Raw genomic sequence first — 13,942 nt, 5'->3', positions numbered from 1 at the left:
GAGCCACACCTGCATCATCATCTCCATTTTCTTTGTTTTCAAACCTTATGAAAGAGACAACTGTTGATGAAATTTTATTTTAAAACCATTAGTCCCCCTTTTTACACAGATGAATCATTAAATAACCAATTAGTTATAGAAGTGATTTATCAGGAAATATAGGGCTTTTTCCTTAAAATTCATTTCCCCACACTCAGGTATAAACAGAGAATTACACACTGGGACAATTTTTACAAAATTAAAAAATCACAAGTACACTGTTACAGTAAACCAGGGCCTCATCAATCACTATTTAAGAAAACCTTGGCCTTGTTCTTTATCCACTGACAAACAAATTTCTATTTCTTCTGGCTTCCTCTTATCTCCTTTGTGGGCATCTGTAGCATGTAAGGCCTTACTCCTCTGACCTCTGACTACAGACTGTGGGCTATGTTAAACTTCCATTAACTTATCGTTGTTCAATGCAAAAAGCCACACTGGTGTTCCTTGGCTCTCTCTCTAATGACCTATTGAAGGCCCTGCTATGGTTTGAATGTATGTGTCACCCATCCCCCAGACAAATTCGTATGTTGGAACATAAGACCCAGTGAGAGCCTGGGCAACATGGCGAAACTGTTTCTACAAAAAAAAAAATGCAAAAATTAGCTGGTGGCGCACTCCTGTAGTTCCAGCTACTTAGGAGGCTGAGACAGGAAAATCACTTGAGTCTGGGGAAGTTGAGGCTGCAGTGAGCTGACATTGTGCCACTACACATCAGCCTGGGCAACAGGGGGAGACCTTGTCAAAACAACAACAACAAAAAACAACCCAGTGTGATAATATTAGGAGGTGGAGCCTTTGAGGTGATTAGGTCATGAGGACAGAGCCGTCATGAATGGGATTGGTGCCCTTTTAAAAGGGCTTGGGGGAACTAGCTAGGCCCTTTATGCCTGTTTACCCTTCTGCCTTCGTCCACGTGAGGATACAGAAACAATGTACTGTCTTGGAAGCAGAGAGCAAGACTTCACCAGACACTTAATCTACTGGCACCTTGACCTTGGACTTCCCAGCCTCCAGAGCTGTGAGAATTAAATTTCTATTATTTATAAAATACACAGTTTGTGGTATTTTTTATAGCAGCATGAATGGAATAAGACAGGCCCACAGGGGAAAAGTGTGGCCAGTGCTTTGGTATTCATCTCCTTGCTGTTTTGTTCTGTTCTTCTTATAGCCTTACTTAAGGGCCGAAAGAAAAGGAACTTGTTGCTAGAGAGAGTGTGTCAGGGATAGCATCAAGCATTGTAACTGGCTTCTCTCAAAAAAGATAGGGTTAATTTTTCCACTGTAATGATAGTCCCTTAATACCCTCATCTGGTCCTTGCCTCACAGCCATGTTCTTGGATTTCCCTTGAACCAGCTCTGTACAAATTTACATTCCCATCAGTAGTGAACAAGGGTTCCCCTTTCTCCATATCCTTGCCAAGACTTGTCTTTCATCTTTTTATTATTGCCATTTTAATAGGTGTGAGATGAAATGGATAAAGAAAATGTGATATATATATATATATACACACACACACACACACAATGAAATATTCTTCAGCCTTAAAAATGAGGAAATTTTGCCATTTTTGACCACATGGGTGGACCAAGCAGACATTATGCTAAGTCAGCTAAGCTAGCAAAGAAAAACAAATACCATATGTTCTCACTTACAAGTGGAATCTAAAACAATCAAACTCATAGAAGCAGAGAGTAGAATGGTGGTTCCCAGAGGCTGGGAGTAGGGGAAATGGGGAGATATTGGTCAAAGGGTACAATGATTCAGTTAGGAGAATCGATGGTAGGTATTTGAGGTGATGGCTATGTTAATTAGCTTGATTTAATCATTCCAGACTGTATACATATATCATAGTATCACTTTGTACTTCATAAAGATATACAACTATAATTTGTCTATATTCAATAAAATGAAAAAAATGAAATAATTTCTGAACAAAGTGATACAAGTGATTTACTACCATTGGTGTCCTACCTCTTTCATTTTTCAGCCAAGTGGTACTTCTTGTTATTTTATTTGTAGAAGACCTTAAGCTTCCCTAAAAGGCTTCAAAGTATTTTATATTGTGATATTTTCACAATAGACTTAGCAAAGTAGAGAGAGCTAGCAATAGGATATGTACTTTGAACATGGGGAGATTGGGACCTAGAGAGGTCAAGTGACTATAAATGTATCCAATTTTAAGTTGAAAAATAGTGAAGAACTGCAGGTTGATGGGACCATTTCCAGTGATTCATTATTTCTCCCTTTTCTATTTTTTTTAAAATATTAACCTCCTTACTAATCTCTTTCCTCAGGACTTGATATGCCATTTGTCCTATATTGTCAATGGTTTTCTTTGGGTCTATAGTTTCTTCATGAGTGTCCATTTGTGTGCTTCTTGACTGGTGCAGAAATAGTCTTCTAGTTTTTCTGTGTGCCTTTGGGTTCCCAGTATAGCATAGTTTTTGGCATATGGTAAGCTCATTGGTAAAAGAATAGTTTAATGAGTCAATAAGTGAATCTAGCACGTGTAGATGCTAAAGCTTGAAAGTCAGCAACACTACTATTTTTTAAAGTATTAAACTATTGAAAATGGGCTAACGTGTGCATTCTCCACTTATGTGCTTTGGCCTTCTCCCTCCTGGAGAATGGAGGTGCACTGGAAACAATTGTTAGTTGTTGGAGGTGTTGCAGGACTTTTCCTTAGTTCAGCTAAAGAGAGGGTCCTTGTCTGTCCCATGGCCAAGAAAATTTAGGCTCGCAGACTGTTGGAGAGGGTGAGCAAGGTTTTATTGGGTGAAAAAGAAGACAAAGGGGGAACCGGGAGCCTCTGCAAGGCTAGAGTCCCTGATAGAGCACTTCCTGCCCACAGCTTGAATTCCAGGTTCCACACAGGAAAAGGAGGGACCAGGCTCCTCCCCAGTGCAAACATGGTGAACTTTCTGAGGCTCTACTCTAGTGCACAGGCTGACTGGAGGTTTTTCGGGGACCCCCTCCCACCTAGCTGTCTCATTCCTCCCTCTAAAGAGGTACATCCAGCTGCCGTTTAGATTAAGGATAAGGATGAAGACTGACCTTAACTGCTTCCTGCTGAGAGGGGGCGCTGTTTTGGGGAAACGGCAGAGGCCCATCTAAGGGTTCACAGCAGAAAGGGCCATTGTCAGAGGCTCTGCTTGCATGATTGTTTAGAGTTTAATGGCCTGAAGGCAAGAACAGACAAACCAGGTTATTAGAAACTATGTATCAAAACGAAATGAAGGGAGGGTAAGGACAGCTCAAAGATCCTGAGGCCTTTTGCCAGTTTGCACACGTAGAGGGAGGCCAAAAGCCTGACTGGCAAAAAAAACTTTACCCTTTTGCTGGCACGTTGGGCTTCTGGGTCCCCTTCCCCTGAGCCCAATCCTAAGCTAACCAGTTTAAGGTTTGGGAAACCAACTCTTTCTAGTTTGGAGGATGCATCTGAGGAGAGTGCCTTGTAGTATGGAGACACAATTACCTATTAGTGAAGAGAGAACAGAGGAGAAGAAAGGCAAAAAGAAGGTGCCTTTTAAAGGAGTCCCAGAGGTTCAGGATGCATTTGAAAGGGATACAGACTGAAGATGAATGGCTACCCATCTAGAAAGAGGGGAGCAGGCATACCTGGTTCCCTTTTCTTCCAGCAGATACCTTAGGTATGTGAGGTAGAGAGGGAAGAGCATCCTCTTTCCATCTTCTATCCTTGCATCCCCAAGTTCCAGTGACCTTGGTAGGTGCCACCATGGGTGTTAAAGCAACTTGCACCCATGAAGCAGGGGGGCCTAGGGGTGGGAATCATCCGCTCTTACCCACGTATGCCCTATCTCCCCTGCTGTCAGTAGCCTTGGAGTTCCGTAGACCTCATTTATGCCATGGATATTAACGTGGCCTTTATCCATGAAACAGGAAGTTTGGGGTTGGCTTAATCAGCAGGAATCAGTCACGCTCACCTGTGCTGTGCCTTTTAACTTCTGTTGTCATTTGCCTCTGGATCCCTAAGATCCGATTTTCCTTCCTAAGGCTTTGATGTGAAGCTTGGAATTCAGTCTGGGACAAAAATGTATCTCGGATGGGGCATTGCATGGCCTCCTTATCATAAGACAAATGCTAAAGTGAAGCTGTGGAACCCAGTTCTCCTCCAACAAGAGAGAGAAAAGGATGTCTTGTGACACACCCAGATAACTGGTAGCTATAGTTATGCTTGCCAGGATTTGGATACGTGATGCTTGGCTTTGGTTAGTTCACTTGGTCTTACTTTCCCAAAAAGGAAACCTCCTGGTAATGGGCACCCTATTTATTCCATCACCTGGCAGGGTTTGCAGGATAATTGTTCAGAGCTAGAATATTGATCCATATTTCTACATTACCCATCCCTCCTGTTCTTTCTGAGCTGCAGCTGGAGATTGCTGCTTGGTTCACAGGAGCAAGCAGGGTTGGTCTAAAAGGTAGATGAAAACTTAAAAACAACTAATGAGTTTAGCATTTAATGACAAATGTATGGCAAATTTTGGAACATAATTTCTGTCTCTCCAGTCCTCATTTTTGTTAAAAAAATTATGGTAGGACTGAGTGCTTTGCAAAATAGACTTTAGTCTTACACTTGGCCTGATTATTTGCATAAAGTGCAGCAAGAATAACTATTTCTACATAGGCTTTTTGGATTGGCACTGATGGAAATGTTTTCCACAAGGAATCACAGATAAGACCTTTTAAAGCTGAGCCTAGCCATGGGTTTGCATCCTCAAATACCTGTGAGTTGGGTGATCCTCTCCTCTTAAGGTCCCACAATAAACTTGGAGCTCTTGGACCTGCTAGAAAGTGACATTCTTTACTGACCACAGGTCAGGAACCCTGTACAGGGACTGCATAGACAACAGTATGAGGCCAGTTTCCCCATGGGGCTTTTATTGGCTCTGCAAGTTGAGCTTGACTCCTTAAAGGGAAGCATACCATTCCAGTCAAAACCTTGGTAAAATAACTACTTTCTCCAAATGTGTCCTGCTGCAAAAGAAAAATGGATTCTTATTGGCACTGATGCAAACAACTATATTGCCATAACAATATTCACAGATAGTTTCCAAATTCTAGAGGAACCAGGCAGAGAGAAACAAACACGCTTCAAACTTTGTTCATAGGAGTATACCTTACTCAATTGTTAAAGGCTGTAAATAGTTCAAAATAAGTTTCCTTGACTCTGAAAAATGAAACATGGATTAGCAATATTCCAAGCAAAAGTCAAAAAGGTTGCTTCAGCTTCCTGAGTTCAGTCCATTTGGCTAACTCTTGTTTTGCTTGATAATCATGAGCATTTCAGCTTTTGAGTCCTGTACATTTTCCTGTATTTCAGTGTCACAATATCCAAAGTTATCAGAAGCCTGTATTTGAAAGCACCTGTCAAAGTCCTATAGCTTATTATAAACCATCTTCTGAAAAAGAATTAAAGCAACAATTGTCTGTGAATAGCAAAATTTCCAGGGTAGTTACAATTAGAAACACGACTGACAAAGAAGTTTAGTTATCTCCGTGGTTTACTATAACTTAACATAAAAACCTTAATTATGGTTGATAGCATATACTCAGACATTAGAATTTTAGAAATCCCATACAATTTTGGAACATATATTGGCATTATTCACCCAGCTATAACCTAAAGAAGATTGAGCATCATTTTGGCAATCCCATGTACCTAAACATGTCAAATAATTCTGTTTACCTCTCTTAGTTCTGGACACATCGGGGGCCCTCTGAAGTATTTGAAAAGCCATGTACCAGGGAAGACGATTTTGAAACTGAAGTTTGACTTTGGGAAGGCTGTTAAATGTTCAAGGTTTAAAACACTTGATGTTATGAAACGGAATTCCAGATTACTGAGGACTAAGCTCTGATTTTTTTTTAATATTGCCCAAATTCCTATCTAAGGAGCCTGGGGAGTCATGGCTTACAAACCATAAATTTTCATCAGATGGGTTTTATTTAACCCTGTATATCGTGACTTACTTTCCAATCTGACTGTGGCATAACAAGGAAAAAAATCAAAATGTTTTACCTCAAAATATATTTCCTTGCCATACCTTGAAGTTGCCCTGCAACGTCTCTTGTGGGAAAAATCCACATTTTATAGAGAATCCCCTTCCCCCTTTGTTTTCATTCCTTTCTCTCCAGATCCAGGAGATAATCAACTAAGAGCCAGGCACCCTTTTAGGTCTGATAAGAAGCATTTTATAACCTGCTCTCTCTTAAGTCTGCTATCTGAGAGCTTCCTCTGCACAATAAAATTTGGTCTCCACAATCCTTTATCTTAACCTGAACATTTCCTTTCTATTGATCCCAGGTCTTCAGATAAACTCAACCGTCATCCAGAAAAATGTTTAAATTTACCTATAGCCTGGAAGGCTCCGCTTTGAGTTGTCCTGCCTTTCTGAACCAAACCAATGCATTTCTTAAATATATTTGAAGTCTCATGCTTTCCTAAAATATATCAAACCAAGCTATACCCTGACCACCTTGGGCACATGTTCTCAGGACCTTCTGAGGGCTGTGTCACGGGCCATGGTCACTCATATGTGGCTCACAATAAGTCTGTAAAAATATTTTACAGAATTTGACTCCTTTTGTCAACATTACCAAAAGTTATTTATTTTGTCAAAATGATGACTCAGAAATTTTGAAGAAGCGAAAACCTTTTATAACCCTTTACAAATTTTGCCAAAGAGCAGATTAAGATTAGCACCTTAGGAAAACCTCGTTATGCTTTTACTTCAACGCTCAATTTACAGAAAAACCATATAATACCCTTGGTTGAATGTAGTCAGTATGTTCACACAGAGAACCTCTTCTGCAAGATTAATTTCCACAATTCTTCCACCACTTCTTGGAACCTTCAGCTTTTTCCTAATGTAACTCAAAACAATCCTTAACCCTAGGCAAAAGTTTACATTTCCATGACTTCTTATAACCTTTTACTGAAAAACACATTTTACTGTTCTCATACACCTTGCATGTAAATCTATTTCTAGTGGATTCAATTAACTCCTAGCAATTTTTAACTGTAAACTAAAACTTGTTAAGTTGCTTTAATTGTGTGCTAACTGCAGCCAAGGTTTGCCTTCTTAGTTAAGGGTGCGGTTAGTTCCGTGTGTCCCCAGGCCTTACCAGTTGTGAAGCTGGCAAGTCAATATAGTTCTGAAAACCCAAAAAGCAGTTTGTAACCTCAAAACACTTAGCAAACCTTGCATCTGACCTGCATTATTTAGCCTACCTATTTACATTTTGATAATACCTGCATTTGACCAATAGTTTTTAAGACTGTTTCTATTTCTTAAAGATTAAAGTCATGTGAACTGAAAGGTACCAGACTTTATCTTCCCTTTAAAAAATATTAGATTCAAGCACTTGTCTTTCTTTAGGCTGTATTAATTAGAGTTCTCTTGACAAACATTACGTACAGTACACACACAGGCAGGCAGAAGAAAACCCAGTTGCTGGGTGGGGCCCTTTAAGAGAAAGGGCTAGGAAAACATGCAGACATTGAATCTTACAGGGTTCATCCTCTCAAGGCTTTGCTAAACAAATCCTTGCCACAATTACCAGCCATGCCCTCAGGATATAAAACAAGATGGAGGCTTGATTTCACAACCGAAACTTTGCAGAGAATACACTGACAGTTGTTGGGGGTGGGTGGAGGCTAGCCTAGTACAACATCTTCTAAAAGAAAAAAAAATTTAAGTTAACTTGCTGATGGGGTAGAGAAGGGGAAAGAAAAGAAACAGTTTAAAAGTGCCTGAGGAAGAACCTCATATTTCTTTGCAAGTGGTTCCTCCACCAGGGAGACAAATTTAAGCTTAATTACTGTCTGATAGAGTTACATCCCTTGGCCAGGGAAGGGGAAGGCTGGGACAGCCAGGAGTGACGGGGAACCAGCCAGCAGGCTGTGCAGGACACTTAGGCCATGTGTCCCAGCCCCGGCATGGAGTGAGGAGCAGTGGGCAGCTGCTGCTCGCCGGTCCATCCCAAAAAAGGAAGGAAAAGGCCACGGGGATGAGAAGACTCAGAAGGGAGAGGGAAAAAGAATTATTGGTTTGCATCTCACTTACCCCTTCTCGAGTCCCCACGTTGGGCGCCAAAAATATTGCAGGACTTTTCCATAGTTCAGTTAAAGACAGGGTACTTGTCCGTCCCACAGCCACGAAAATTTAGGTTCACAGACCGATGGAGAGGGTGAGCAGGGTTTTATTGGGTGAAAAAGAAGTAAAGGGGAAAGAGGGAGTCTCCCAAGGCTTGAGTCCCTGATAGAGCACTTCCCGCCCACAGCTTGAATCCCAGGTTCCACACAGGAAAAGGAAGGGCCAGGCTCCTCCCCGCTGCAAACATGATGAAATTCCCGAGGCTCCACCCCGGTGCACAGGCCAGTTGGAGGTCTTCTGGGGACCCCTCCTCACCTGGCTGTCTCACAGGCTGGAGACTTGGGTGGTTGTCCCTGCTCCTTCAATTTTTACCTGGTGTTTACAGGTGGAGATGTGAGTTTACCATTTGTACTGAGCTTTGGTTTCTTCCTCTATCAGGGGCATTTAAACATTCCTTATTTAAAAGCCAACATACACTCTATTCATTTCAAATGGTGATCTTACTTAGATGTGTTTTTTTAAAAAACTAATATGAAAGGAGCTGCACTGGTTGAAACAATGTCATGAATTTGGTCTGCATTAACACAGTTTGGAAACCACTGCTTTATAAAGATGGGCATAGTAATACAGTAGTTCCCCATTATCTGCTGTTTCAAAGTTTTAGTTACCTGTGGTCAACTCGATCTAAAAATGTTAAATGGAAAATTCCAGAAATAAGCAATTTGTAAGTTTTAAAATGCATGCCATTTTGAGCAGCACAGTGAAATCTGAGCTGCCCTGCTCTGCCCTTCCCAGTGTATGAATCATCCCATGTATCTGTGATGTCTGTGCTGCTTGCCCGTTAGTGACATTATAGCTAGCTCTGTGATCAGATCCACTGTTGCAGTATCACAGTGCTTATATTCAAGGAACCCTTATTTTACTTACTAATGATTCCAAAGCACAAAAGTAGTGATGCTGGCATCTACTTTATTATTAGTTATTGTTGTTCATCTCTAACTGTGCCTAATTTATAAATTAAATTTTGGCCAAGCACAGTGGCTCATGCCTGTAATCCCACTCTTTGGGAGGTCAAGGTGGGCAGATCACTTGAGGTCAGGAGTTCGAGACCAGCCTGGTCAACATGGTGAAACCCCATCTCTACTAAAAATACAAAAATTAGCCAGGCGTGGTGGCAGGTGCCTGTAATCCCAACTACTCGGGAGGCTGAGGCAGGACAATTGCATGAACGCGAGAGGCAGAGGTTGCAGTGAGCTGAGATCACACCATTGCACCCCAGCCTGGGCAACAAGAATGGAACTCCATCTCAAAAAGAATAAATTAATTAAATTTTATCATAAATATGTATATATAGGGAAAAAACAGTATGTATAGGGTTTAGGACTATACAGGATTTCAGGCATCCACTGGGATTCTTGGAACATATTCCCTGTGCACAAGAGGGAACTACTATATCTACTCTGTCCAGTTCTCAAGTCTGTTAAGTATCAAATGGAATAAGGCATGTGAAACCATTTTATAAAATTTACTTTGTTCTATCCATTATGATGTCATCATGAAGATAATTTTGCCATTTTCGTATCTTCCTTAAGCTCATCCATCAAAGGTGTAACCCCAAATCCAGACTGAAAATTTTAAATCCTTAAAATGAGTAGCCCATCCAGTAGGAATGTTTTAATTCTATAGAAGAAATGAGTTGAGAAACACTTGGAAAAATACTAATCAAGAAGATGATTAAAGGCAAAATGATGGTCCAGCTTTATGAAAGAAGGTGGTATTAAGCCAGAAATCAGACTGGTATTGTTTGGCATGAATTAAACTTATAATAAGTCACAATAATTTCTCTGTAGCTATATAGTCTGGGAAACTGTAATCTAGTTCCCAAGTGAATAAACTATAAGGCCAAAGGGCAAATAGTTTAACAAAAGGGAATCAGATGATTATCTTGTAAGCTAGAAGAGCAAAGATACTGTGGCTTAATTACATAGCTTGGTAGGAAGCTCTAGTTACAACCAAAGTCTTAAAGTAGTTGTCTGGTCATTTGCAAGATACTGGAATGGTTTAACTTATGAGAAGAGAGAAGACATAGAAAAAAAACAGAAATTCTGTAATGGCTCATAAATTGTTGCTAGGGGAAAACACCAGGGAAAATGATTTAATATTGTGATTATAAAGACTAATGCAATGAACAAGGAATGTTTCATTAGTGATCAAGAAAATTGCATTGACGGGTATCAGATACCCATATGATTATGGAGATGAAGTCTAGGGAGATGTTTGGGCTTAATTGGGTACAGAGCTACAGGGTACACTAATAAATAAATATTCTTGGTTTTGACCTTGGGATAACTGTTGCGTTTTAACTGTTTCGATGTGTCTTTGATTTTGACCATGATTGTGCAGATCGTAACCCTTAAATTCTATTTTTTTTGCCTAGAATATTTGAGTAAAGTCTGACTCTTTGCAGCCTTGAAATTCTGTGACCACCCAGTGGGTTCTTCCTGCCTGCTACACAAACAGAGACCATGGAATTGCAGTAAAGAAAGAGTTTAGTTGACAGAAGGCTAGCCACACCATGCCGGAGATGGAGTTATTATTCAAATCAATCTCATAGAAGGCTTGTAGGTTAGGGGCTTTTCAAAGGTAGTTTGGGCGAAGGCGTAGGGATGGCTATGCAATGGGTGTTTGCTGCCGATTGGCTGGGTTGGAGATTTAATCATAGGGAGTTGAAGCTGTCCTCTTACACTGAGTTGCTTCTGGCCAGAGGAACCATCAGTTGGTGGGTCCAAGTAGAGCCATGGGTGCCAGACATGCAAAAAACCTGAAACAGTATCTCAAAAGGCCAATCTACAATAGTGATGTTGCCTGCAGGAGTAATTAGGGAAGTTGCAAATCTTGTGATCTCTGGAATAATGGCTGGCAATTGTTCATGTCTGTACCTTAGCAGCATCCAGGCATCTCTCCTTCCCTCAGTTGGTCCCTCATTAGCTTTACAAAGGCAGTTGAGTTGGGGGGAAGGGTTATTATCATTTAAACTGTAAAGTAAATGTCTCCCAAAGCTAGCTTGGCAGCTTGAATGCTAAAGACAGGAGGCAGATGGGCTAGATCAGATCTCCCCGACTGTCATAATTTTCTCATTGATACAACATTTATAAAGATGATGTCAATTCCCCTATTATTTTTCCATGAAACCACACAGGTAACTTGGTATTCGTATTCTGGTTAGTGACTTTACCTACTCAGATTTTGATTATGCCTCTATGATGTCAAATATATATATATATATATATATATATATATATATATATATAGATGAGAAGTGAACAATCTACTTAATCTATCATCTGGATGTTTCATTTCTATCTCAGTGATAATCTGGATGCTTCTGCATATCAGACTACTCATCAAAGTCCTGTGTGCACATCATGGGGGCAAAACCATTCCAAATTCCAACTGCAACTTTTTTTTTTTCTTCTGAAGAATGCAGCTTCCAGGCCACAGATAGTCATGGCAGAGTCTAGACATATTTATTGGTTCAACTTTAGTTTATAGCAGAAATCTTTGTCAATCATTGTACACCACCTTTGTTCTTCTCTTTCCAACACTTTTAAGAACCTGTCAGCAGTGCCAGTGCTAATCTGCTGTTGCCTGGATTGGGCACTCCTCTGAGTTTCCTGCAGAAGAGAGCCAAAATTGTGTCTGAGATTTTCAGCTTGATGACATCTTGGCTTAATAAAAATTCTTGAAGAAGAGAATGTGAATTTTTTTAAAGTTCCAGGCTGGTGAAAATGAACAATTTTGCATAAGAAATAAATCCTTAGCATTAAGATAAATGAGAAGCACTGCTGATGTGAAACTAAGTTTGCTTTGACATAGATAAGGGGGCTAAGTGGGATTCTATGGGAATTGACACACTGGATCTAAATCTTTTTTTAATTACTGCATCAATAAATGTGCTTTTTCACCCCCTTCTATAAGATGACTATTTAAATACTTTCCTGTAGCACTTTTTAAATGACTGTATTCAGTGGTCTCACTTGCCCTGTGCTCTTAAACTGGAATCCTGACAAGGCAGTGAGACCCCCCTCTCAGGAAGTAGGCCATGTAGGCCTCTGCAACGTGTCTGAGTTACACAGTCACTGATCAACATGGGAAATGGGACAATTTCTGGCATTCTTGCCTTCTTTAACATGCAGACCACTCCGTTCCTGTTTTGAAATGACTATGCCAGATATTTAACACTTTGGAGGAGTTTTCAGAAAGAGTATTGATATGCAAAGTGTAACTCAAAAAAAGCAGACAAAATGATTGTTGAACAGTGGGATAGAGAGAGAGAGAGATAAATATTACTTTCAAAGCATAGGTGTGTCCAGGGATGTGCTTCCAAGTTGAAAGCTAGATGAAGAGTTAGGCTTTTGACTTAGCCAAAGATGTTGCCATGTTCACTGACAGAAAAGAATATTTCATACAATAAATAGGCTAGCCTTAGGCTAAGAAAGAAGATTGAGTTGGAAAAGGAATGCAGGTGGGATTCTGGAAATAGGAGTCAGTTTCATTCACTGCTTATGGCTTAAAGGTAAAGGAGTAGGTTGCAGATTCCACAGAAAAAAATATTGCTAGATTAGACTTTCCTGAGAGAGAACTGTTAGGTTGTGAATGATTAAAACAATCTTTGCCTGGGTATTGAAAGTGGGAGAAGGAAAATATGGTCAGGAGCATTAGTTGCAAACAATAGAATGGGCTCTAATTTAAATAGAGAAGGAATTTATTAAAGGATATGGGGCATTTGGAAGAATCATTGTAGACCCAGAGAAATAAGCTTGAGGCTAAGCTTTTGGGAACAATGTCCAAAACTATGTTGCAGAACTGGTCTGGTCAGAAAACAGCCATTGACATGCTGTTGACTGCAGAACATTTTCTTAGAACTGGGCTTATGAGGCAATTGTCACCATCTACTTACTGGATACCACAATGTTTTCCTGACTGTAACATCTAGGATACGAAGGATTTAATTTTATTGCAATTTATCCTAACATCCCCAAATCTGGATACCTTTCTCACTGCCTATACTGGAAAAATGAATGTCCACACATAGCCTGTTTTTCCTCATTGCTCACTTCCACAGTGAAGTCTTGTGTGGCCTGAGAAGAGGAGGGCAGACCGCATGCCTGCTCCTTAGCTGCAAAGGATATGAGTTTTCTGAAATTCCCTTTGAAAAGGAAGAATTCATGATGTGGAGCAAACATTATTATGAGCAAGAATATCCAGAGGATATTGGGCAGCCACGCGAGACAAATTTCGCTCTGATCCCTTTCTTGGTACCAAATATCAATAATACTCCTTTTTTTTTTTCTCCATGTTTCAACTTTCAAGTTATAATACCTTGCTCTGACTTAACATACTCTAACTTACCCTTGAACAAACAGTCCATCAGTAATTCTATCCAGGAAACCCTCAATGCTTCTGCTCATTTGGGGTTGCTGGAGTCTAACCCTTTACCATGGCACACGGCAGTAGCAGGAATACTCCAGAGGATTTACCTGCATGGTAGGTATTCTCTTCATGGCCTCCATTGCTGAGCAGGAACTTCATTTCCCAACTGATAATCAAGACTAATGACCCCTCCCAACACAATAACTCCCTTTTTACTCAGTTTGAGTGGGGTGTGAGGTGTCCAAAATGTCCACTGGACAGTTTCAGCTTCCAATTTCATAGAAACACTCTTGCATCTGCTAAAGCAAACTAAATATGGCCTGAAAAGGCCATACTTCTATATTTGAGT

General features: G+C 40.3%; 1 protein-coding gene across 7 annotated transcripts in view, besides 1 other annotated feature; it reads left to right on the top strand.

Moving 5' to 3' along the window:
- FHIT (fragile histidine triad diadenosine triphosphatase) overlaps window positions 1-13,942 on the top strand; it is a 1,504,176-nt gene that overhangs the window by 467,667 nt on the left and 1,022,567 nt on the right. The gene's annotated exons all lie outside the window — the stretch shown is intronic.
- Window positions 10,640-11,495: an enhancer, noted in NCBI's record as "OCT4-NANOG hESC enhancer chr3:60758024-60758879 (GRCh37/hg19 assembly coordinates)". NCBI's record gives its function as "activates a minimal SCP1, AML or CMV promoter by ChIP-STARR-seq in naive and primed H9 embryonic stem cells {active_cell/tissue: H9 hESC(naive and primed)}" and the evidence as "EXISTENCE:reporter gene assay evidence [ECO:0000049][PMID:30033119]".

Source organism: Homo sapiens, chromosome 3 (genome assembly GCF_000001405.40).
Source record: "Homo sapiens chromosome 3, GRCh38.p14 Primary Assembly".
In the NCBI taxonomy this organism is placed as follows: Eukaryota; Metazoa; Chordata; class Mammalia; order Primates; family Hominidae; genus Homo; species Homo sapiens.
The sequence above is the reverse complement of the archived record's forward strand: the minus strand, read 5'-3'. Positions and strand labels throughout refer to the sequence as shown.